Source organism: Homo sapiens, chromosome 2 (genome assembly GCF_000001405.40).
Source record: "Homo sapiens chromosome 2, GRCh38.p14 Primary Assembly".
In the NCBI taxonomy this organism is placed as follows: Eukaryota; Metazoa; Chordata; class Mammalia; order Primates; family Hominidae; genus Homo; species Homo sapiens.
Window position 1 is genome coordinate 132,264,161 of NC_000002.12, and position 22,574 is coordinate 132,286,734.

The window sequence follows — 22,574 nt, forward strand, 5'->3', positions numbered from 1 at the left end:
TTTAATTATTATAGCAGCTGAGTTTTAACCCTTGATTTGCTTCTAAATCTGAAGCATTATATTACTAAAACATTTTTTGATTTGTGAATATGTTGTTCAATGGATTATATCTCATTTTGCAGTAGTAGTTGCAGTGCCTGAAAGATTGACAAAAAAATAGTGCTAGCTTCTGCTGACAAATGTAACAATCAACTTACCAATACTGCCTTCTCTTCTGATAGCTATGTTATCCGTAATATTTTAAGAACTCAGTTCTTCATAAGACTTGTGTTGTTTTTGATTTTTTCCCAAGTCTGGTTGATCCTTGTGTTGTTCTTTTTCAATTGTGTATTGTCTGTTCAGCTATTCTGCAGGAGTCACATTCTTAAAAACCTTAACCATATCAAAAATTGTGTTTAAAGGAGGATTATTCAGATTAGCAAGCTTTTACTAGGAGGAGTTTAAATGCTGATGTATTTCGGTAACTCTAAATACTGAGCAACTTTATTCTAACTATAAAATAGATAGCCTTTCTTTGTTTTCACTTTCACTATCATTAGCACCGTGTTTAATACCTTTTCTTCATCTATAACACAATTATAACGATATACAAAGCCACTCAAATAAAGCAGATATATTGTGCTTTAAAAAAAAAAAAGAAAAAAAAAAGAAGTCATTATGTGGCACACAATGAGGTGTGACTCGAATCTAGAATCTCCAGTGAAAACCAATGAAACAGGGTCAAACCCCGTGTCTACTAAAAATAAAAAAATGAGCCAGGCTTGGTGGCGCTGAGGCAGGAGAATCGCTCGAACCCAGGAGGTAGAGGTTGCAGTGAGCTGAGATCACACCACTGCACTCCAGCCAGGGCGAGGGACAGAGCAAGACTCCCTCTCAGAAACAAACACACAAAGCCAATAAAGATGTTAAGGTGTTTAACTCAACGTGTCAGGCTCAGGTCTCTTGACAGGATACATCCAGCACCCGGGGAAACGTCGAGGGGTGGGGTGGAATCTATTTTGTGGCCTCAAGGAAGGGTTTGAAAGATAGTCCCGCAAATGTGACGGCCTAAGGAAGCCCCTCCGCCCAAGAAGCGATATTCATTTGTATCCTGTAGCCACCCACGAGGGAGAATCGGGCTCTCTACAGACCCCCAATCCCCACCCCACCCGAACCCACCCCCCTGCCTCGTGAAATGAGCTCTCGCTCCGTCGGGCTCTATTCACGCCGTGTGGTTTTGTAACCTCCAGCGTGTGTGCGTGGGTTTCGGGGTGGGGTGGGGTGGGGTGGGGGCGGCTATGGACAGAGAAGGGGATAAAGCGGCGGTGCCCTGCTGGTGTCCGGGACGTGGGACGTGAGTGGGGTGGCCAGAGCCTAGGGAACTCATCGCCTGTCAAGACGTCTCCCCTCCTGGTCCCCTCTCTGACCTATGCTCCACATCTTCACAGTTCACTGGGGACCTTGTGGGTGGAAGTCACCATCCCTTTGGACTTTAGCCGAGGAAGGCCGGGCTCCCAAGAGTCTCCCCGGAGTTGGGGCCTTGGGCAGGCTCACAAGGATGCTGACGGTGATGGTCACAGTGATGTAAGTTGGAGGCCTCTGGCCAATGCAGAGGTATCCATTTGATCTCGGTGGGACAAGTCAGCTTTGCGGAGTCCCGCGCGTCCTTCCAGAGACTCATCCAGCGCTAGCAAGCATGGTCTGGAGGATCCCAGCTCCCAGCAGAGGCACTTTTGTTCACACAGAATACTGGGCAGAAACGTTCTCAGCAGGTTTAGACCTCCTAGTCAAAAAGCCAAAGCCACTTCTGGGATTTTTTTTCAAAGAGCCAGTGGTTCCACAATGGGCCGTGGGTAGTTGTGGAAATGGAGAGAAGTGTTTGCAGATACATATTTGAGACAGAACAGACAGGGCTCGGTCACAGGTCATGAAGGACACGAGCAGATGCACATTGAGAAAACCCTCCCAGCATCCTAGGTGAACAGAGGTATGATTTTTTGAGACAGTCGAGGGAGATGCAACCCCAGATTTTAGGGCTGGATCTTTATTAATATGTAGTATCTATGAGGTATCCAAGTCCAGAAATTGACTCACCAGTTCTGTACAGCGTTCGGTAGGGAGATCAAATCTGGGATGTCTAAAGTTAAGAATTCAGGCTGTGGTAATGGATTAGATTAGATGCACTTGAACTTATTTTGCAAAGAAAGAGAGGGTGGGAGACAGCGAGAGCCAGAGAGCGAGCGAGAGAGAGAGAGACAGAGACACAAAGATACACAAAGAGAGAAAGACAGAAAGAGAGAGACAGACAGACAGATAAAGACACAGAGAAAGAGAGAGATGGACAGAGACAGAGAGAAACAGAAAGAGAGAGAGAGAGACAGACAGAGAGAGACAGACAGACAGGCAGACAGACAGGCAGAGAAAGAGAGTAAGACAGATGGCAGACACACACAGAGAGAGACAGAGACAGATGGAGAGACAGAGAGAAAGAAAGAGACAGACAGAGGGAAAGAGACAGAGAAAGAGACAGACAGAGGGAGAGAGAGAACCAGACAGAAAGAGAGAGACAGACAGAGACAGAGAGAGAAACAGACAAGGAGAGAGAGAGAGATAGACAGACAGGCAGAGAAAGACAGTAAGACAGAAGACAGACAAAGAGAGAGAGAGACAGGCAGAGAGAGAGAGAGACAGAGAGACAGAGACAGAGAAACACACAGGCAAAGAGAGAGAGAAAAAAACAGGGAGAGACAGACAGACAGACAGGGAGAGAGAGAGAGAGAGGCCGACAGACAGACAGACAGGCAGAGAAAGAGAATAAGACAGAAGACAGACACTGTGAGAGAGACAGAGAGAGAGATAGACAGAGACAGCGAGACAGAGAAAGAAAGAGAGATACAGACAGACAGACAAAGAGACAGAGAAAGACAGAGACGGACAGAGAGAAACAAAGAGAGAGAGACAGAGAGAGAAAGAGAGAGACAGGCAGGCAGAGAAAGACAGAAGACAGACACAGTGAGACAGGCAGAGAGAGAGAGAGACACAGAGAGAGAGAGACAGAGAGAAAGAAAGAGACAGAGAGAGATGGACAGAGAGAAACAGAGAGAGGGACAGCGAGAAACAGAGAGAGAGACAGAGACAGAGACAGACAGAAACAGACAGACAAACAGGGAGAGAGAGAGAGAGACAGACAGGCATAGAGAGAGAGACAGGCAGGCAGAGAAAGGGAGTAAGACAGAAGACACACACAGTGAGAAAGACAGGCAGAGAGAGAGAGAAATAGGCAGAGAGAGAGAGACAGAGAGAGTGAGAGAGAAAACAGAGAAAGAGAGAGACAGAGACAGACAGAGAGACAGAGAGAGGAGCAGGAAGGGCGTGCTCAGGAAATAATTACACATATTTTATAACGCTTTTGATCCCGTAAACGGTGGCCGAGGTGTGCTTTGAAAACAACAACAACAGCAACAAGAGCAGCAGCAGCATTCGCTTACGGGTTTCTAGAACATAAGATGTTCTGAAGTCTAGTAAACATCAACGGGCTCTCACTACACGTTGAGAGATTCACAAAAGCTCTAGTTAACAGGAGAAAACAGCAGCTAATGTGTCTTGGGGAAAATATACGTCTTCCTGAAAATTGCGGATTTCTACTTCACCTGAAAAGAAATACATACGAAAAAGGAAAAACACGAACAAAACAAAACAAGCCAACGAACACGGGCCAATGCACCGTCCCTGGAAATCTTAAGTGAGCAAAGTATTAGTTTTCAGAAACCGTTTCTATTTTGGGCAAATGCTAAGAAGGCCCAGATTAGAGCTGTGACGCCCTTCCCATTGTGAAACTATGTTGGCCGGAGGGAGGAGAAACTAAAACATCATGATAAAAGGTGATTGAGACCCAGCCAGAGTGAAGCTTTCCTAGGGAGGGAGGCCTGAGGAGGGAAGCGGGGGAAGAAACCCACAACTGCAGACCCGCCCGCTTGCCCACGCGGGTCAAGGGCTATGCCATCGGCCCAAGCTGCCTCTGGGGAAGTGGGACCGTGCCACCCCCATCTTCAAAAACGGTGACCACTGAGTGAGGCCTGACGCCCACCGATGCAAATGTCAGCCTGGCAAGAATGAGATCGCCGGCAAGGGGTGGGGGAAGGGGAGAGAAGACGGAGGCACACCGGGGTGGCTCCGGAAGGTTTCCAAGCAGGGTGTTGGGAGGCGGGGGGTGGGGGTTTGGGGGGAACCCACCTAACTGACTCACTAAATGAAGGTAAAGGGACGTGGGTAGTGGGGGGAGCCGAGGGGCGACTTGAAAATTAAACTGACCCCTCCTAAATCCCAAGTAGAAGAGTCTATGCACACGAAAGAAACCAACACACAAAGAAAACTAAAGCTCTGATCAAAGAACAATAGGGCCCCAGCCAGGGCAGAGGTTCCCTAGGCAACGAGGGAGAGAGGGAGGGGCCTCCAGAAGGGAGAGAGAGAAACCGGTTGCCCCAGGTTCGGTGAAGTCTGGGAGACCTCCCTCTGTGTCACCTCGACTTTCAATAACAGTGGCCGCTAGGTGATGCCCGAAGACAACCGATGCCTGCAAATGTCAGTCAGCACGGAAAAGAATGTATGTATGTATGTATGTATGTATGTATGTATGTATGTATGTATGTATGTATTTATTTATAGACAGAGTCTCACTCACTCTACAGCCTGGGCTGTAGTGCAGTGGTGCGATCTCAGCTCACTGCAGCCTCCGCCTCCCAGGTTCAAGCGATTCTCCAGCCTCAGCCTCCCAAGTAGCTGGCATTACAGGCACCTGCCCCACCGCTCCTGACTCAGTTTTGTATTTTTAGTAGAGACGGGGTTTCGCTGTGTTGGCAAGGTTGGTCTCGAACTCCCAACCTCAGGTGATCCACCCGCCTCGGCGTCCCAAAGTGCTGGGATGACAGATGTGAGCCACCACGCCCGGCCTTAACCGTTTACTTTTAAGTTGAGGAACTTATCAGGGAAATATGAGAAGTACAGACGCCACACGTGACAGACAGAAAAGTCTGAAAATGCCCCTTGCATCCAAGTGGGGACCCGGCCTCGACCTCCCGAAATCATACACCGAGTGGGGAAGCCCAGCAAGGCCCGTCTGTCTAGATTCTTCTCAGCCTCTCTAAGCACCTAAGCATGCACTTCTCACTTTCGTGGAAGGGGCAGAGCCCTCCCCGTCATGAGGTGTCTGACAGACTGACACAGAAAGAGACAGACATAGAAAGACAGAGACGGACAGAGAGAGATAGAGAGAAACAGACAGAAAGAGAGAGAGATGGAGAGTGAGTGAGAGAGAGAGAGACATGGAGGGAGAGAGACAGAAAGGCAGAGAAAAAGAGTAAGACAGAAGACACAGTGAGAGAGACAGGCAGAGAGAGAGAGAGACAGAGACAAAGACAAAGAAAGAGAGAGAAAGAGACGGACAGAGAGAGACAGAAACAGAAAGAGAGAGAGAGAGAAACAGAAAGGGAGGGAGAGAGACAGAGACAGAGAGACTGACAGACAGATAGGCAGAGAAAGAGAGTAAGACAGAAGACAGATACAGTGAGAGAGACAGGCAGAGAGAGACAGAGGGAGAGACAGACAGAGAAAGAGACAGAGAGAGAAAGCAGAGATGGAGAGAGAGAGACAGACAGAAACAGAAAGAGAGAGAGACAGAGACAGAGAGAAGCAGACAGACAGGGAGGGAGGGAGACAGACAGAGAGAGGGAGACAGACAGAGAATGGGAGACAGACAGACAGGCAGAGAAAGAGAGTAAGACAGAAGATAGGCACAGACAGAGAGACAGGCACAGAGAGAGAGACAGACAGATAGAGAAAAAGAAAGAGACAAGCCGGGCACGATGGCTCATGCTTGTCATCCCAGCACTTTGGGAGGCCGAGGTGGGTGGATCACGAGGTCAGGAGATCAAGACCATCCTGGCTAACACGGTGAAACCCCGTCTATACTAAAAATACAAAAAATATAGCCAGGTGTGGTGGCGGGTGCCTGTAGTCCCAGCTACTCGGGAGGCTGAGGCAGGAGAATGGCATGAATCTGGGAGGTGGAGGTTGCAGTGAGCCGAGATCGTGCCACAGAAAAAGAAAGAGAGAGACAGACAGACAGAGGAAGACAGAGACAGACAGAGAGAGACAGAGAGAAACAGAGATAGAGAGAGACAGAGAGAAACAGACAGAAATTGAGAGAGACAGAGAGAGAGAAACAGAAAGGCAGGGAGGGAGAGAGAGACAGATAAACAAAGAAAGAGAGTAACACAGAAGAGAGACACAGTGAGAGAGACAGGCAGAGAGAGAGAGACAGAGACAGAGAGAAAGACAAAGAGAGAGAAAGAGACGGACAGAGAGAGACAAAGAGAAAGAGAGACAGAGAGAGAAACAGAAAGGGAGGGGGACAGACAGACAGAGAGAGAGAGACTGACAGATAGGCAGAGAAAGAGAGTAAGACAGAAGACAGACACAGTGAGAGAGACAGAGACAGAGAGACAGACAGAGAAAGAAAGGGAGGGACAGAGAAAGAGACAGAGAGAGAAAGACAGAGATGGACAAAGAGAGACAGACAGAAACAGAAAGAGAGAGAGACAGACAGAGAGAAACAGAGAGGGAGGGAGGGAGACAGACAGAGAAAGAGAGACAGACAGACAGGCAGAGAAAGAGAGTAAGACAGAAGATAGGCACAGAGAGAGAGAGAGAGACAGACAGAGAGACACAGAAAAAGAAAGAGAGAGGCAGACAGAGAAAGACACAGACAGAGAAAAACAGAGATGGACAGAGAGAGACAGAGAGAAACAGACAGAGAGAGACAGACAGATGGGCAGAGAAAGAGAGTAAGACAGAAGACAGACACAGTGAGACAGGCAGAGAGAGAGAGAAAGACAGAAGTCAGACACAGTGAGACAGGCAGAGAGAGAGAGAGAGACAGACAGACAAAGAGACAGAGAGAGACAGACAGAGAGAGAGAGAAACAGGAAACAGAGAAACAGAGAGAAACAGGAAACAGAGAAACAGAGAGAAACAGAAAGGGAGGGAGAGAGAGAGACAGACAGATGGACAGGCAGAGGAGAGTAAGACAGAAGACAGACATAGTGAGAGAGACAGGCAGAGAGACAGAGAGACAGAGACAGAAAGAGACAGAGAAAGACAGGGATGGACAGAGAGAGACACTGAGAAACAGAAAGAGAGAGAGACAGAGAGAAACAGACAGAGAGAAAGTGAGAGAGAGAGAGAGAGAAACAGAAAGGGAGGGAGAGACAGAGACAGGCAGAGAAAGTAAGACAGAAGATAGGCACAGAGAGCAAGAGACAGAGAGAGAGAGACAGACAGAGACACAGAGAAATAAAGAGAGAAGCAGACAGACAGAGAAAGAGACAGACAGAGAAAAACAGAGACAGAGAGAGACACAGAGAAACAGACAGCGAGGGAGAGAGAGAGACAGACGGGCAGAGAAAGTGAGTAAGGCAGAAGACAGACACAGTGAGAGAGGCAGAGAGAGAGAGAGACAGAGAGACAGAGAGACAGAGACAGAGAGAAAGAAAGAGACAGACAGACAGAGAAAGAGACACAGAGAGAAAGACAGAGACGAACAGAGAGAGACAGAGAGAAACAGATAGAAAGAGAGAAGGTCCTAGCCCAGTAGCGATACAGTGCCTTTTCTTTTATTTTCTCTTTCTTTTCTTTTCTTTTTTTCTTTCTTTCATTTATTTATTTATTTATTTATTTGGAGACTGAGTCTCGCTCTGTCGCCCAGGCTGTAGTGCAGTGGCGCAACCTTGGGTCACTGCAACCTCCGCCTGCCAAGTTCAAGCGATTCTTCTGCCACAGCCTCCCATGTAGCTGGGATTTCAGGTGCCTGCCCCACCGTGCCTGACTCAGTTTCGTATTTTCAGTAGAGACAGGGTTTCACAATGTTGGCGAGGCTGGTCTCCAACTCCTGACCTCGGGATGACAGACGTGAGCCACTGCGTTCAGTGTACAGTGCCATTTCTTAGACATCACTCTTGGGAACACACCTAGAGATTTTATTTATTTATTTATTTATTTTTTGCGCGGGAAGGTGGGGGGACGGAGTTTCGCTCTTGCTGCCCAGGCTAGAGTGCAATGGCATAGGGGACTCAAGGAGTCAACCTATGGCAGGGAGGACACGTCATTCTGAGTGTAAGGGCCACAGGGAAAGGTGGCAGGGCCCGTGCTTTTAAAGGCTGAAATCCCGGTGGTTCAGGCCTGTCGTCCCAGCACTTTGGGAGGCCCAGGAGGGCGGGTCACTTGAGGTCAAGGGTATGATACCAGTGTGGCCAACATGGAGAAACCCCGTCTCTACTAAAAATAGAAATATTAGCCGGCTGTGGTGGTGTGCGCCCGTAATCCCAGCTACTGAAGAAGAATCACTGGAACCCAGGAAGCAGTGGTTTCAGTGAGTCGAGAGAGCGCCACTGCACTGCAGCCTGGGTGACAGAGCGAGAGAGACTCAGTCCAAAAAAAAGAAAAGAAGAAAAAAAAAAACAAAACAGACCCAAATATTGCATTGTCGCTGAACTTTCCCCCGAAAGGCCAGAAACCCCCTGACTCAGGTCAAGGAGGTGGTGTTTCATTTTACTTCTCTCTCTCTCTCTCCCCTCCTCCCCCCCTCCCCCCAACTTTTATTTCTTGTCCAAGCATACATGTGCAAGATTGTTACATAAGTAAACTTCTGACGGGGGGGTTCAGTGTGCAGATGATTTCATCACGCGGATACTCAGCGCTGTGTCCGACAGTTTTCGTGTTTTGTTTTTCCCTGAAGCTGTCTCTCCTTCCACTCCTCCCTCAAGTAGGCTCCCGCGTCTCTGGTCCCCCTCGTTCTGCCCATGCAAGAACTCTCATCTATAAGTTCCCACTTGTAGATGAGAACACGCGGTATTTAGCTGATTGTTGCTTTCATCTTCGGTAGTGGCGGTGAAAGAGGCATGACACTAAATCGACCCTTAGGACGCTCCCCTCCGTCCCCACCCCTCACCCCCTTCCCACACACACCCTCATTCCTGCACCCCCTCCTCAAACGCAAGAAAGGGAGAAAGACAGAAATTAAAGTAACAGGTGAGCCTCCAAGGCGGTGGAGGCGGGGGATCTCAAAGGGTGAGCAAGCGATGGGGGTCGGGGGATGTCTTGGCTGAGCTATCAAAAATAGGGGACCCACTTTCCAGCCCCATCACACCCCGTAATCCTCAGCCTCAGCCAGCCTCTGGGTGGGGTTGCCCCTGTCAAAGCTTCTGAATGGAGAGAAGCCCAAGGCTATGGAAGGCATCAGCTCCAACTCCAGGAAGGGAATAGGGCTTTGTGCTTATGAATGGGGCTTTACAAGGCGGTGCCGTGGCTTCCAAAGCGACGCCCCTCCTCGCCTCGCCCAGAGCAAGACTCGGTCTGAAAATAAATAAACAAATATAAATAAGAAAATAATTCATCAATAAATAAGAAAGAACGAATCAGTACAGCGGTAGTGGTCGTGAATCATTCTCTGGAGTCCAGGCGTAGTGGCTCACGCCCGTCACGCCAGCACTTTGAGACGCCGGGTCAGGAGGGTTGCAACAAAATGATGAGACCCTGTCTGTGGAAAAACATTTAAAAATGAAGGCCGGGCGCAGTGGCTCACGCCTGCCATCCCAGCACTTCGGGAGGCCGGGGAGGGCGAATCATCTGAGGTCGGGAGTTAGAGACCAGCCTGACCAACATGGAGAAGCCCGGTCTCCACTAAAAATACAAAATCAGCCAGACGTGGTGGCGCATGCCTGCAATCCCAGCTACTCGGGAGGCTGATGCAGGAGAATCGCTTGAACCCGGGAGGCTGAGGTTGCGGTGAGCCAAGATCGCGCCACTGCACTGCAGTCTAGGCAACGAGAGAGAAACTCTGTCTCAGGAAAATAAAATAAAATAAAAATGGTCTGGGCACAGTGGCGCATGCCTGTTGTTCCAGGTACTGTACTCTGGAGGCTGAGGTGGAAGGATCCCTGGAGTCCAGGAACGTCCACGCTGCAGTGAGTGAGTTACGATGGCACCACTGCCGGGGTGACAGAGTGAGATGTTGTGTCTAAATCAGTCAATCAGATCACTGGAAGTCGCTCTCTGTGTCTTACTTTCAAAGGGTGTCTCTTTAGGCCAAGCAGGCACGGTGCCTCACGCCAGTCATCCCAGCAATTTGGCAGGCCAAGGCAGGAGGAAAGAAGGAAGGGAGGAAGTGAGGAAAGAAGAAAAGCAGAACGGCAGTAAGGCAGGAAAGAAGAAAGAAGGAAAGAAGGAAAGAAGGAAAGAAAGAAAGAAAGAAAGAAAGAAAGAAAGAAAGAAAGAAAGAAGAAAGAGAGAAAGAAAGAAGAAAAACAAAGAAAGAAAGAAAGAAAGAAGAAAAGAGAAGAAAAAAAAAGAAAAGAGAAGGGAAGAGAAAAAAAGAAAACGGGGAGGGGGCATATCTCCTTGACTGGTGATGGCCCAGGATACAGTGGGTCACGGCTTACTGAAGCCTCGACCTGTGGGACCACAAGTGATCTTCTCCTTATCTCAACCTCCCGAGTAGCTGTGACTACAGGCGGCCATCACCACACGCAACTCATCTTATAATGATATTAAGATTCTATTGGGACAGGGTCTCGCTCTGTCATCCAGGCTGGATTGCCCTGGCATGATCTCAGCTCATTGCAACCTCAGCCTCCCTGGTTGGAGCAACTCGCCCATCCCAGTCTCCTGAGCAGTTGGGATTACAAGCCCACGCCACCAGGCCTGGCTAATTGTTTTATTTTTCAGAGAGACGGGGTTTTGCCATGTTGGCCAGCCTGGTCTTGAACTCCTGGCCTCAAGTGATCCACCCGCCTCGGCCTCCCAAAGTGCTGGAATGACAGGCATGAGCTACAGTGCCCAGCCCAGATAATCTTTTTAATAAATTGTAGAGAAGGGGTTTCGTCAGCCGACGGGTGGAGGGTGGGGTGGGTTTTACTCAGCCTGCGTACTGTGAAAAGAGTGAGTGAGTGTGGTTTGTGAACTAGATGTGGAAATTGTGTGTGTGTGTGTGTGTGTGTGTGTGTGTGTGTGTGTGTGTGTAGGAGAGAGAGAGAGAGAGACCAATCCCACCATGAGGACCTGGAAATGGTGTTTGATTTGGGTCCTTGTCTAGTCACCTGTCTGTCTGTAGATGACTGAGGATTCCACAAATGAAGGTCAGCAGTATCTATTGAGCTGTTTCTCCCTCTCATGCGTCTCATGTGTGTGGTGGAGAAAGGGAAGAAAAGAGGTTCTGATGTGAAGTTGTCTTCAGGCCTGAGGAAGCTGAAGTCAGCCTGATGGGAAGGAGGGCATCCTATGTGACATTTCCATACCTGCGCACCCTTTACAATGCTGGGGCTGCCAGCTCACCCTGTACCTCAACCCACCCCCAAGAACAGCACGGTCCGGGGTGGTCCAGTCTCATCCCATCCGGCCCACGCGGGGCATCTGGTGGAAGTCTTTGCCGGAGGATTCGAAAGCAGCGTCAACGCGCTTCCCCTGCCGTTGCCTGGCAAAGGCCAGCTGTGGGAGGGTAGCGGGACGTGATGGGGGCTTCCGCCTCAGAGCTCCCTGAAAGGTGGCAGGTGGCCAGTGGGGGACGCTGAGGCAGAGACGTCTGGAAGGATATAGATCTGGAAGCCGCGTCAGTCCTCTCCCATACCTCTCCTATGGAAAATGCCATGGCCGTGGTGGGAGCCTTGGCTGGGGGAGAAGCGAGGACAAGGGGGAGAGGGAAGGAGGCCCTCAGGAGGATTTAGCCCTGAAAACCCACTCAGCCAAGCTCCCGCTGTCTTTTTGGGTCCAAGGTACACCCTGGGAGACGGCAAGAGAAACGTTCACTCCGTGCTTTTTCTCTCTTTATTTTTTTCATCTTTTCCATTTTACAAGAGATGCTCATTTCAACAACCAGACAGTGGATGTGACAGGAGAAGTGTCAAGGCCAGGAGTTTGAGACCAGCGTGAGCAACCGAGCAATACAAGTAAGAGAGCCCAGCTGAAGGAAATGAAAAAGGAGGAGGAGGAGGACCTGGGAGGCTGGGGGTGGGGGTGGGGGGGAGGAGAAGGAAAGAAAAAAAAGAAAAGAAAAGAAAAAAAAAGAAAAACAACCACCAAGAAAGTTAAAATTCTCCAATGGTCAGAAGTTCAAGACCAGCCTGACCAAGATGGAGAAACCCCATCTGTACTAAAAATAGAAAAATTAGCCAGGCATGATGGCACATTGTTGTCATTCCAGCTACTTGGGAAGGCTGAGGCTGGAGAATCACTTGAACCTGGGAGGCGGAGGTTGCAGTGAGCTGAGATCGTGCCATTGTACTCCACCCTGGGCGTCAAGAGTGAAACTCCGTCTAAAGAAAAAAAAGAAAGAAAGAAAGAAAGAAAAGGCAGATTGGTGAGATGCGTTTCAAAATTTCCTTTCCAGTCCCTATACTAAAAACGGAAAGAACCGACACATGAGAAATATGACCAGAGCATACTGTGCCCAAGAGTGTCATCACAGCACTCTGGGAGGCCGATGTGGGAGGATCGCTGGAGCCTTAAAGTTTGACATCACCTCGACATGTGAGATGACACCTGCAATAATAATAATCATAGAAGTTTAAAAATAGATTATGTGTGACAGAGCATGGAAAACAAAGCGAGAGTGCATCCGTACTAAAAACAAGATGATTGATAGACAGGCAGGCAGGCAGGCAAATATAGAATGAGCCAGGTGCAGTGTCTCACGCCTGTAATAGCAGCAGTGTGGGCGGCTGAGGCAGGCAGGTGGATTGCTTGAGAACAGGAGATAGAGACCAGCCTGGGCAAGATGATAGAACCCCGAACCCCATCTCACTCACATATATACATACATACATACCTACATACCTACCTACCTACGGAAAACATGAGAAACAACATAAAAGTCAACCGGTGTTGTGGTGCATGCCTGTAGTCCCAAGTAATGGGGATGGGAGAGATCAGAGGCAGGACAACTGCTTGGTCGGTCCAAAGCGTTGAGGCTGGGGTGATCCTGGGCGACAGAGACAGAGGAAGACCCTGCCAGTAAGGAAGGAAAGAAGGAAAGAAGGAAGGAAGGAAGGAAGGAAGGAAGGAAGGAAGGAAGGAAGGAAGGAAATAAGCAAGCAAGCAAGCAAATGATGAACATGACAATGACATAGAATAACCCATGACAATAAACAAGCAAATAAGAGGGTATGAATAAAGCTAAAAGGTAATTAAGATCACAATCAATTGTTTTCTCCCCACCCCACCCCACTCCTCCTCACCCCACCTCACCCCACCTCACGTAAGCTGGAGTGGAGGTGCGCGATCACAGCCCACGTTAGCCTCTGCCTCCCGGGCTTAAGAGATCCCTGTAGTCCCAGCTACTTGGGAGGCTGTCACCAGGGCCCAGAGTGAGAAGACCAGGCAGGCCCAAAAAGGAAAGAAAATAAGCGAAAATAAAAAATAATAAATGAAAGAAGGAAGGAAGGAAGGAAGGAAGGATATACATACACATGTATATGTAAATGAAATGGGTTTTCATTTAATACATATTCATACATTAAAATTAACATTTATAATATAAACAAGTATTAATTATGGAAATATCTATATAGTTTTATCACTACATATTTATGTGTGTGTATGTATGTATGTGTGTATGTGTGTGTGTATATATATATATAAATGTATGTTTATACACAACAGCGTGCAGAAAATAAGATTGAAGAAAAAAAGGAATTGGCCGAGCTTGGTGGCTCACGCCTGTACTACTCCCAGCACTATTTGGGAGGCCGAGGCGGGTGGAAGGTCAAGAGTTCGAGACCAGCCTGGCCAATATGGTGAAATTCCATCTTTACTCAAAATACAAAAATTGCTGTTCGCTTGAACCCTGGAGGCAGAGGCAGCGGCAGCAGTGAGAAGAGAAGGCACCACTGCACTCCAGCTCCAGCTTCAGCCTGGGCGTCAGAGCGAGACTCCATCCCCAGAAAAAGGAAAGAAAGAAAGGAAAAAAAAAAAACACACACAAGACAAAACCAAAAAAACCAAAGGAGGAAGTATTACTGACTGACAGCAACAGTGACTCCCTCTGAAAAGTACGGCGGAAGCAAACAAAGTGGGCCTGAAAAAAATGTAGGAGAGGGAGTTCCACGTGGTCCCAGCTCCACCAAAGGCTGAGGCTGGTGAGGGCCACCCGCGCGTGAACGGGGATAGGTGCCCTCACATGGGTGCGCTGCACCATCCAGTGGGACCGCCACTGGCCGCCTGCTGGTCAATCTGGGACACAGGAAGCCGCCGGCTAAGTCCGGAGCTCGCTGGCAGCAGCTGATCGACCCTGGAGGTTCCGACTGAGATGCGGACGCTCCAGATCCGGCTCATCCCAACAGGCACCCCTGCACACCTCTCGGTCCAGAGGGCCTGCCGGTCGACCTGGGACATGGCTAGCTGCCAGCTGTTTCACACCCTCAGGCAGCAGCTGGTCGACCCCAGAGGCCCGACCGAGGAGCAGCCACAAGTGGAGGTTGGCCATGTGTGGCCAAATTCTGACCCAGAAGCAGGTCGTCTACAAATGGTTTAGCACCAGGTTCCCCACGAACGTGTGTTGCATGACGGGCAAGGAGGCCACCTTTCCAGCCACACCCTTCCCAGGAGGAAGGGCACTCTGCACCGGACCCAGTCCTAGCACATGGTGGGGCACACCCCACCAAGGGTGAGGCAGCCCACCAGCGGGGGTGGGGAACCGGCTAGCCAAGGCCAGCCAAGGCCAGCCAAGGCCAACCAAGGCTCCACGGTGCTGCTGTATCCTTCCGCCTGGGCAGGATTCTGACTTAGAGGCGTTCAGTCACAATCCAACAGACCGTAGCTTCACCCCATTGGCTCCTCAACCAAGCACATGTCTGAACTTGCCATTCCTCTCATGCTGAGCAGGATTACCATTGCAACAACACACATCACGGAGGGTAAAACTAACCTGTCTCACTACGATCTAAATCCAGCTCACATGCCCTATTAGTGGGTGAACAATCCAATGCTTGGTGAATTCTACTTCACAATGATAGGAAGAACCAACATTACAGGATCAAAAAACATCCCTATGAATGCTTGGCCGCAACGAACCAGTTATCCCCTGTGGTAACTTCTGATACCTCCTGCTTAAAAACGTCAGAATGATCGTCAAAGCCCAGCTTTCAGTCTGTATTCGCACTGAAAATCACGATCAAGCGAGCTTTTGCCCTTCTGCTCCACAAGAGGTTTCTGTCCTCCCTGAGCTCTCCTTAGGACACCTGCATTACCGTTTGACAGGTGTACTATCCCAAACTCCCCACCTGGCACTGTCCTCGGGACGGGTCAACACCCGGCCGGCGTGCAGCTGGGCACTTGGCGCCAGAAGGGAGGGCCCCTAGGGGCTCACCCCCTGCCTCACCAGGTCAGTGAAAAAACGATCAGAGTAGTAGTATTCCATGGGCAGCCCACAGGACCCCACCCCACCCCCTCACGGGGATAGGGGGGCACTGGGGACCTCCCACTTATTCTACACCTCTCATGTCTCTTCACCATGCCAGACTACAGTCAAGCTCAACAGGTTCTTCTTTCCCCACTGATTCCACCAACCCCATTCCCTTGGCTGTGGTTTCACTGGATAGTAAGTAGGTAGGGACAGTGGGAATCTCATTCATCCATTCACGCACGTCACTAGTTAGATGACGAGGCATTTGGCTACCTTAAGAGAGCCATAGTTACTTCCGCCATTTACCCATACTTCATTGAATTTCTTCATTTTGACATTCAGAGCACTGGGCAGAAATCACTTTGCAACACCCCCCGAGGGCCTTCGCGATGCTTTGTTTAAACAGTTGGATTCCCCTGGTGCACACAGTTCTATAAGTCGGCTGCTAAGCACCGGCGGAGGTGCTGCATGGAACCGTGGCCCCTGTGGCGGGGACCAGCCCGCGGCCCGCCACCTCCACGGAGGGGGGGACAGGAGACAGATGGGGCTGCGGGGGAGGTGGGGGAATGAACCACCCCGCCTGCCACCCACTGACCCAATCACTCCCTGCCCACGCTGACACGCATGACAGCGCAGAGCGAGACAGGACACACCAGCACCCACTGGGCTCCCCATGGGTGGCCACAACTGGGGCAATCCATGGGAAGGGCCCAGCTTGTGTCCAGAGTCACCACCACCACCAGCACCCCCTCACGGGAGATCATGCCCTGCCACTGGGGCTGTATGGCCACTGCCACCCCTCCGCCCCCACACACCACCTCCATAGAGGGGGAGGACAGAGAGAGAGGGGGCGGGGGAGGGAGTGAGCAGCACACGGGTTGGGGCAGGGGAGGGCCACAACAGGCATTCCTGGGGCTTGGGGGGGGCAGCGGGGCCTCGTCGAGCGGCGGCACGCACCCAGCCCAACCGACCCAGCCCTTACAGCCAATACTTATCCCGAAGTTATGGATCCGGCTTGAGGACTTCCTTTACCTACATTGTTCCAACATGCCAGAGTCTGCTCATCTCGGAGACCTGCTGCAGACATGGGTATGGCCCTGCGTGAGACTTACACCGTCTACCCTGGATTTTCAAGGGCCAGCCAGAGCTCACCAGATGCCACCAGAACCACGATGCTTTCCAAGGTACAGTCCCCTCTCTCGGGGCGAACCCATTCCAGGGCGCCCTGCCCTTCACAAAGAAAAAGAGAACCCTCCCCAGGGCTCCCACATGCTTCTCCAGGGTCAGTCACATTACCGCACTGGACGCCTCATGGTGCCCATCTCCGCCATTCTGGATTCGGGGATCTGAACCCAACTCCCTTTCAATCAGCTGAGGGCAACAGAGGACATCACCCATCCCTTCGGAATGGCACTCACCCATCTCTCAGGACCAAATGAACCATGTTCAACTGCTGTTCACCTGGGACCCATGTTCAACTGCTGTTCACATGGAACCCTTCTCCACTTCGGCCTTCAAAGTTCTCATTTGAAAATTTGCTACTACCACCAAGATCTGCACCTGTGGCCTATCCACCTGGGCCCATACCCTAGGCTTCAAAGCTTACCGCAGCGGCCCTCCTACTCCTCCCGGCGTAGACTCCGTGGGGCTGCAGGGGAGGGGGGGGAGGAGGGGACGGGAGGACCCCCACTGCACTCACACGGGTGTACTGCCCCTGCCGCTCCCATCCACTCTCAACTGCTGTCAACGGCCGGGTATGGGCCCAACGCTCCAGCTCCATCCATTCTCAGGAGTAGTTGATTTGGCAGCTGAGTTGTTACACTCCTTAGCGGATTCCAACTTCCATGGCCACCATCCTGCTGTCTATATCAACCAACACCTTTTCTGAGGTCTGATGAGCATTGGCATCGGGCATCTTAACCCGGCATTTGGTTCATCCCACAGTGCCAGTTCTGCTTACCAAAAGTAGCCTACGAAGCACTCGCATTCCACGCCTGGCTCCACGTCAGCCAGCCAGGCTTCTTACCCATTTAAAGTTACAGAATAGACTGAGATCGTTTCGGCCCCAAGACCTCTTCCCGCTGAAATGTGGGTGTAGTTGGAGAGTAGCTGGGACAGACAGGAGGGTCCGTAAGTGGTGGGGGTGAAGAGGTGAGAGAGACTGGTGAGGGTCTCACTGAGGTCTGTGAGTTTGTAGGTGTTTCTGGGGTGTGAGAGACCGACTCCCGCTGAAATCTGGGCATAGTTGGAGAGTAGCTGGGACAGACAGGAGAGTCATTGATGGCTGGGGGTGAGCTGCTGGATGATGGCAGTAAGAACATATGGTATATTATTCATGAATGAGGTGACTGTGAAGAATCTCCAGAGGAGGACACGGGAGAGCACAATGACATGAGTGATTGTCCTGCTTGGCTAGGAAAGGGAAATGTAAAGTTATGAAATTCTGTTGATGAGGGATGTGAGAGTGGTGAAGCCCTGCGGGATGATGTAGAGTACTTCCACATCCCTGGTGAGGAGCTGCCTCTTGGGTCTGAGTTTCTGGGAGGGGAGAGGGAGAAGCTGGGTGAGACAGGTATGAATCTTGAGGAGTCAGGGCTGGGGGACTGCTCATATTCTCCCGAGACTTGTGAGTCTCTGGGGGACTCCTGGGTGCATGGGGCTGACTCCCGCAGAAACCTCTGGATGGCTGGAGAGTAACTGGGAGACACAGGAGAGTCCCTGAGGCCTGGGGGGGAAGAGATGAAAGACATAGGGGAGGAGCACCACAAGGCTCGTGAGTTTGTAGGCGATTCCTGGGTGTGGGGGGCTGATGCCAGATGAAATCTGGGGTTGTTTGGAGAGTAGCTGGGAGACACGGGAGACTCCCCGAGAGCTGGGGGTGAGCTGCTGGGTGATGGCAGTAAGAACATGTGGTATATTATTGATGAACGTGGTGACTCTAAAGAATCCCCAGAGGAGGACACTGGAGAACCCAATGGCTTCACTGATTGCCCATCACGGTGAAGAAAGGGAAATGGGAGCTTGTGGGATTCTGCTGATGACAGAGGTGAGTGTGGTGAAGCCCTAGGGGATGGTGAATGGTAGCTCCGGATCCCTGGTGAGGAGCTTCCTCTTAAGTCTGAGTTTCTGAGAGGGGAGAGGGAAAAGCTGGGTGAAGCTAGCATGGCTCTTGGGGAGTCCGGGCTAGGGGACCATTCATAAGAAGAGCCAGACAAGATCCTACTTTTCTTAGGTGCAGACATGATTAGGAAACCTGCAGCTCCCGGGGACCCCTACAAATTTTCTAACCCGCAGAATGAAGGAGTCTGTGTGTATGTGTGTGTATGTGTGTGTGTGGTGTGAGGTATGTGCTCCTTAAGAAAATGGAAATAAACCAACCAATGAGACAGACAGACAGACACAGATTCACTTAGCCAAGTGTTCTGTCCTGTCCTCTGAATCCACTTCCAAGTCACAAGATGCTGTAAGCTCCAAGTCCACGCAGAGCCCGCAAAACGCTCCGGCCGCTGCTACGCTGGGCGAAGATCTGAGTACAGCCCTGCCAGGGTGGGTTTAAATAGCCTCGGGCACAGCCTAGCAGCGGAAAGGGCAGAGCTTCACTCTTCCTTCCTATCAGTCACCCCCAACTTTCCCAGGCTACACCTAGTAGGAAACTGTTCTCCTGATTTGATTTCATGTGCCACATTTGGGACAATCTAAGAATTTACAAGTTTTCTTGGCCAAATACATTATGAATTAAATGCACTGAAACACTGAAAACCATCTAGTGGTTCTGTGGTTCTCACGCTGTGGTTCTGACACCAGCAGCATCCTTGCAACCCTCAAACCCCGGAGATCCACAGATTTGTGTTGTAACAAGCCCTCCCACTGACCCTGATGCATGGCAGTTTAAGAATTACCCGTGTAAGCGAAAAGACTTTGAAGAAAAAGTGGAGATATGCGTTGTATAAACTTTTTTTTGCTCTGGAACCACATAGAGACTTGGGAGCCAGTTGGGTGGAGCATTCGTTGGATGAGGGTGCTTGGGTTAGGAATATCAAGGTGTGGCTCCAGATAATTCAATCATCTCATTAAGTTTCCAGTTATGCTAATCTGTTTTAAAATTCAGTTTGTGTAAATTCTTTTACTCAGACTGAGAATGGCAAATCCTCAACCCCAATTTCCAGGGAGGGTTGAGAGCCTCAGGTTGAGTTGATCACCAATAGCCTATGGTTTAACCCATCATGCCTATAGAATGAGGTCTCCATAAAAACCCAAAAGGACTGGGTTTAGAGAGCTTCTGGATAACACTTCCTGGATGGTAGTGCTCCCCTCCCCACATGGTGGGCCCAAAATCTTTTTTCTGAATTTTTTGCAATATCCACTATAATAAAATGGTAAATGGAAGTCTTTCCCTGAGTGCCGTGAGCTCTTCCAGCAAATTAATGCAACTAAAACTGGGAGTGGTGGAAACCTGATTTATAGCCAGTTGCTAAGAAGCACAGGTAAAATAACGTAGGGCTTCCCATTGTTGTTAGAGTGGGAGGCCAGTCTTGCGGGACTGAGCCCTTTGGAATCTCATGCTATGTCCCAGTAGATAGCGTCATCATTGAATTAGAAGACACACATATGTTGAGAATAATTTTTCCAGTCATTTGCTGTATGTCTTATTTACAATATGTAATCAAATTCTTCATCCTGACCTTATGGCACCTGGGTTGAGAACCATGATTTGAACAAAAAATTGGTCTGTCACTTTCTCAGTTTGAAACTTTATTTTGCCACTAGCGTTTTGTTATAGTTTTTTCGTTTTGTTTTGTTTCCTTTTGTTTCTAAGTTCTGGGGTATATGTGCAGGATGTGCAGATTTGTTACAAAGGTAAACGTGTGTCACGGTAGTTTGCTGAACCTGTCAACCCATCACCTAGGTATTAAGCCCAGCATGCATTAGCTGTTTTTCTTAGTGCTCTGCCTCCCGAAAGGCCCCAGTGTGTGTTATTCCCCTTCCTGTGTCCATGTGATCTCCTTTTTCAGCTCCCATTATAAGTGAGAATGTGGTGTTTGGTTTTCTTTTCCTGGATTAGTTTGCTGAAGATAATGACTTCACATCACCAGTGTTTTTTTTTTTTTTAAAGAACAGTATTTTATTGAATAAGATTTATTCACAGAAAAATAAGCTTTAATCTACAATGAATGCCAGACTCTACCGCAGAAAGCAATTTTCTCAGTTTTCCACACACAAAGGTTCCTACTAAGTGAAAAAAGCCATAAAATTTCATTCACAAATGAACTACTCTGTCTCAAAACATTTCCCATAATCATTCATTGTGCTAAAACAATTAGATCAGTTACTCAGTCAAGTTAAAGTATCCCTCTGATAACTGATTTTTAAAATGCTATCAATATCCACTCCCTGTCAGTCTGCCATTGTTAATGGTATACAGCATTATGGAATACAATGGAATTGATGAAGCCGATATCCACGGACAAACCGTGACTTATGATGGTTTGATTTATGATTTTCAACTTTATGATGGGTTTATTGGGATATTAGATGCGTTTTTGAGTTACACTGGGTTTATGAGTATGTGACCGTATACTCCAGAAATAGCTGTATAAAGAAAAAGAAGTGTACCTAATTAAAATATACTGAGTGACTTGGGAGAAACCAATAGATGTTTACAACTGATGGAGAACCAAGAAAGAGAGATAGCGGTAAATAATAACAATAACACAATTTTCCTGCAACTGTCGAGGATTTCCCCAAAATTCACAGAATGTAGGATGCACCTAAGGCATATGAATGGGAGAAGGCAGAAGGAGTAAGAGAGAAATAGGAAGCAAGGAAGGAAGGAAGGAAGGACGGAAGGAAGGAGAAAACACCCGGTGGATACTAAAACCAAAAAAAAAAAAAAATGGTTTCCCACTGTGGGTAAGACTATAATGTGGATGAATCTTGAAAATATTGTGCTAAGTGTAAAGTCAGTCATAAAGTCTCACATACTGTGCAATTCTGTTTATAGGAAATGTCCACAATATGGAAATCTATGGATATGGGGTTGATCGCTCTATGTAGTTGTTACCTAGGGCTGAGGGTCAGGGAGAGGGTTTGAGACAGAATGAGGAGTGAATAATGTTTACAGGGTTTTTCTCTGGTCGGGGGTGATAAAATGTTCTAAAATGGATTGCGAATTAAAACTGAATATGCACAACCACAAATATACTAAAATCCACTGAATTCATGACTTTTAATGGGGGAAACTTACGTGGCACACTCTCATCGAGACCACGGCAGACATAGTGAATGAGAAAAAGGTGAGTAAATATCTGAAAGGGAGGCAGAAACAGAAAGAATGAAAAGCCCTGTGAATGGAAGAGAGAGAGAAAAGGGAAAATGGTCCTATTTACAAATGACAGATCTGAAACTGGGGCTCACATCAACAGTGTCACTGCCAGGGAGGAGGGGCATGCTAGCCATGTCACCGGTAGTGTCACCCGCAGGGACGCTGACATGCTGGAGGTTCGTGTCAGCATGGGCTCTGGCAGCCATGTGGGCCAGCAGGAGGGTCCCGCTGCACAGCTGTGGGGTGAGGATAGCCTGGGTGGTGATATCAGCCATTACAGGGGCCTCTTCTGCTGGCAACAGTGTGACAGTAGCAAGTAGATGGACAGGCCTGTGTGTGAGGATGGAATGCAGGAGGGGCTCTTCTGCGGCTGGGTGTGGGGCCCTCACCAGAAATGTGGAGAAATGGCCAGGTAACTGTGTCATGTTGGCTAGTAGATTGGCCAGGGCTTCGAACTGAAGGACAATAACGGGGAGTAGCTGTCAGGCCCTGGGAGTGTCTGAGTGTAAGTGGAGATGGGTTTGGGGTCACTGAGGGATACGTGGGAGCCATCCCTGTATAGATACAGGTCATAGGGAGATAGTCTCATGAGGCCTGTGAGTGTCTAGGGTTCTCCTGGGTGCCTGGGGCTGACTGCGGCAGAAATCTGGGGAAGGCTGGAGAGAAGCTGGGAGACACAGGAGAGTCCCTGAAGGCTGGGGGTGAAGAGGTGAAAGAAATGGGGGAGGGGTGCAGTAAGGTCCGTGAGTTTGTAGGTGATTCCTGGGTGTGGGAAGCTGACCCCAGGTGAAATCTGGAGATGGTTGGAGAGTAGGTGAGAGAGAC

The 22,574-nt window shown here is 49.4% G+C and overlaps 1 long non-coding RNA gene and 1 pseudogene across 2 annotated transcripts, besides 4 other annotated features; one reads left to right on the forward strand and one right to left on the reverse strand.

Moving 5' to 3' along the window:
• Positions 3,507-4,019: an enhancer, noted in NCBI's record as "NANOG-H3K27ac hESC enhancer chr2:133025240-133025752 (GRCh37/hg19 assembly coordinates)". NCBI's record gives its function as "activates a minimal SCP1, AML or CMV promoter by ChIP-STARR-seq in naive and primed H9 embryonic stem cells {active_cell/tissue: H9 hESC(naive and primed)}" and the evidence as "EXISTENCE:reporter gene assay evidence [ECO:0000049][PMID:30033119]".
• Positions 4,020-4,531: an enhancer, noted in NCBI's record as "NANOG-H3K27ac hESC enhancer chr2:133025753-133026264 (GRCh37/hg19 assembly coordinates)". NCBI's record gives its function as "activates a minimal SCP1, AML or CMV promoter by ChIP-STARR-seq in naive and primed H9 embryonic stem cells {active_cell/tissue: H9 hESC(naive and primed)}" and the evidence as "EXISTENCE:reporter gene assay evidence [ECO:0000049][PMID:30033119]".
• LOC105373622 (uncharacterized) lies at positions 4,461-12,739 on the forward strand. Of its 2 annotated transcripts, none has more exons than XR_923341.3 (3): positions 4,461-4,582; positions 11,884-11,975; positions 12,416-12,739. It is a non-coding gene; the product is annotated as an uncharacterized LOC105373622 (long non-coding RNA). The 2 variants fall into 2 exon arrangements; XR_923342.2 differs by lacking the exon at positions 12,416-12,739 and adding an exon at positions 12,230-12,257.
• Positions 6,054-6,995: an enhancer, noted in NCBI's record as "OCT4-H3K27ac hESC enhancer chr2:133027787-133028728 (GRCh37/hg19 assembly coordinates)". NCBI's record gives its function as "activates a minimal SCP1, AML or CMV promoter by ChIP-STARR-seq in primed H9 embryonic stem cells {active_cell/tissue: H9 hESC(primed)}" and the evidence as "EXISTENCE:reporter gene assay evidence [ECO:0000049][PMID:30033119]".
• On the reverse strand, positions 15,274-17,547 carry RNA28SP (RNA, 28S ribosomal pseudogene; annotated as a pseudogene).
• Positions 22,054-22,553: an enhancer, noted in NCBI's record as "H3K4me1 hESC enhancer chr2:133043787-133044286 (GRCh37/hg19 assembly coordinates)". NCBI's record gives its function as "activates a minimal SCP1, AML or CMV promoter by ChIP-STARR-seq in primed H9 embryonic stem cells {active_cell/tissue: H9 hESC(primed)}" and the evidence as "EXISTENCE:reporter gene assay evidence [ECO:0000049][PMID:30033119]".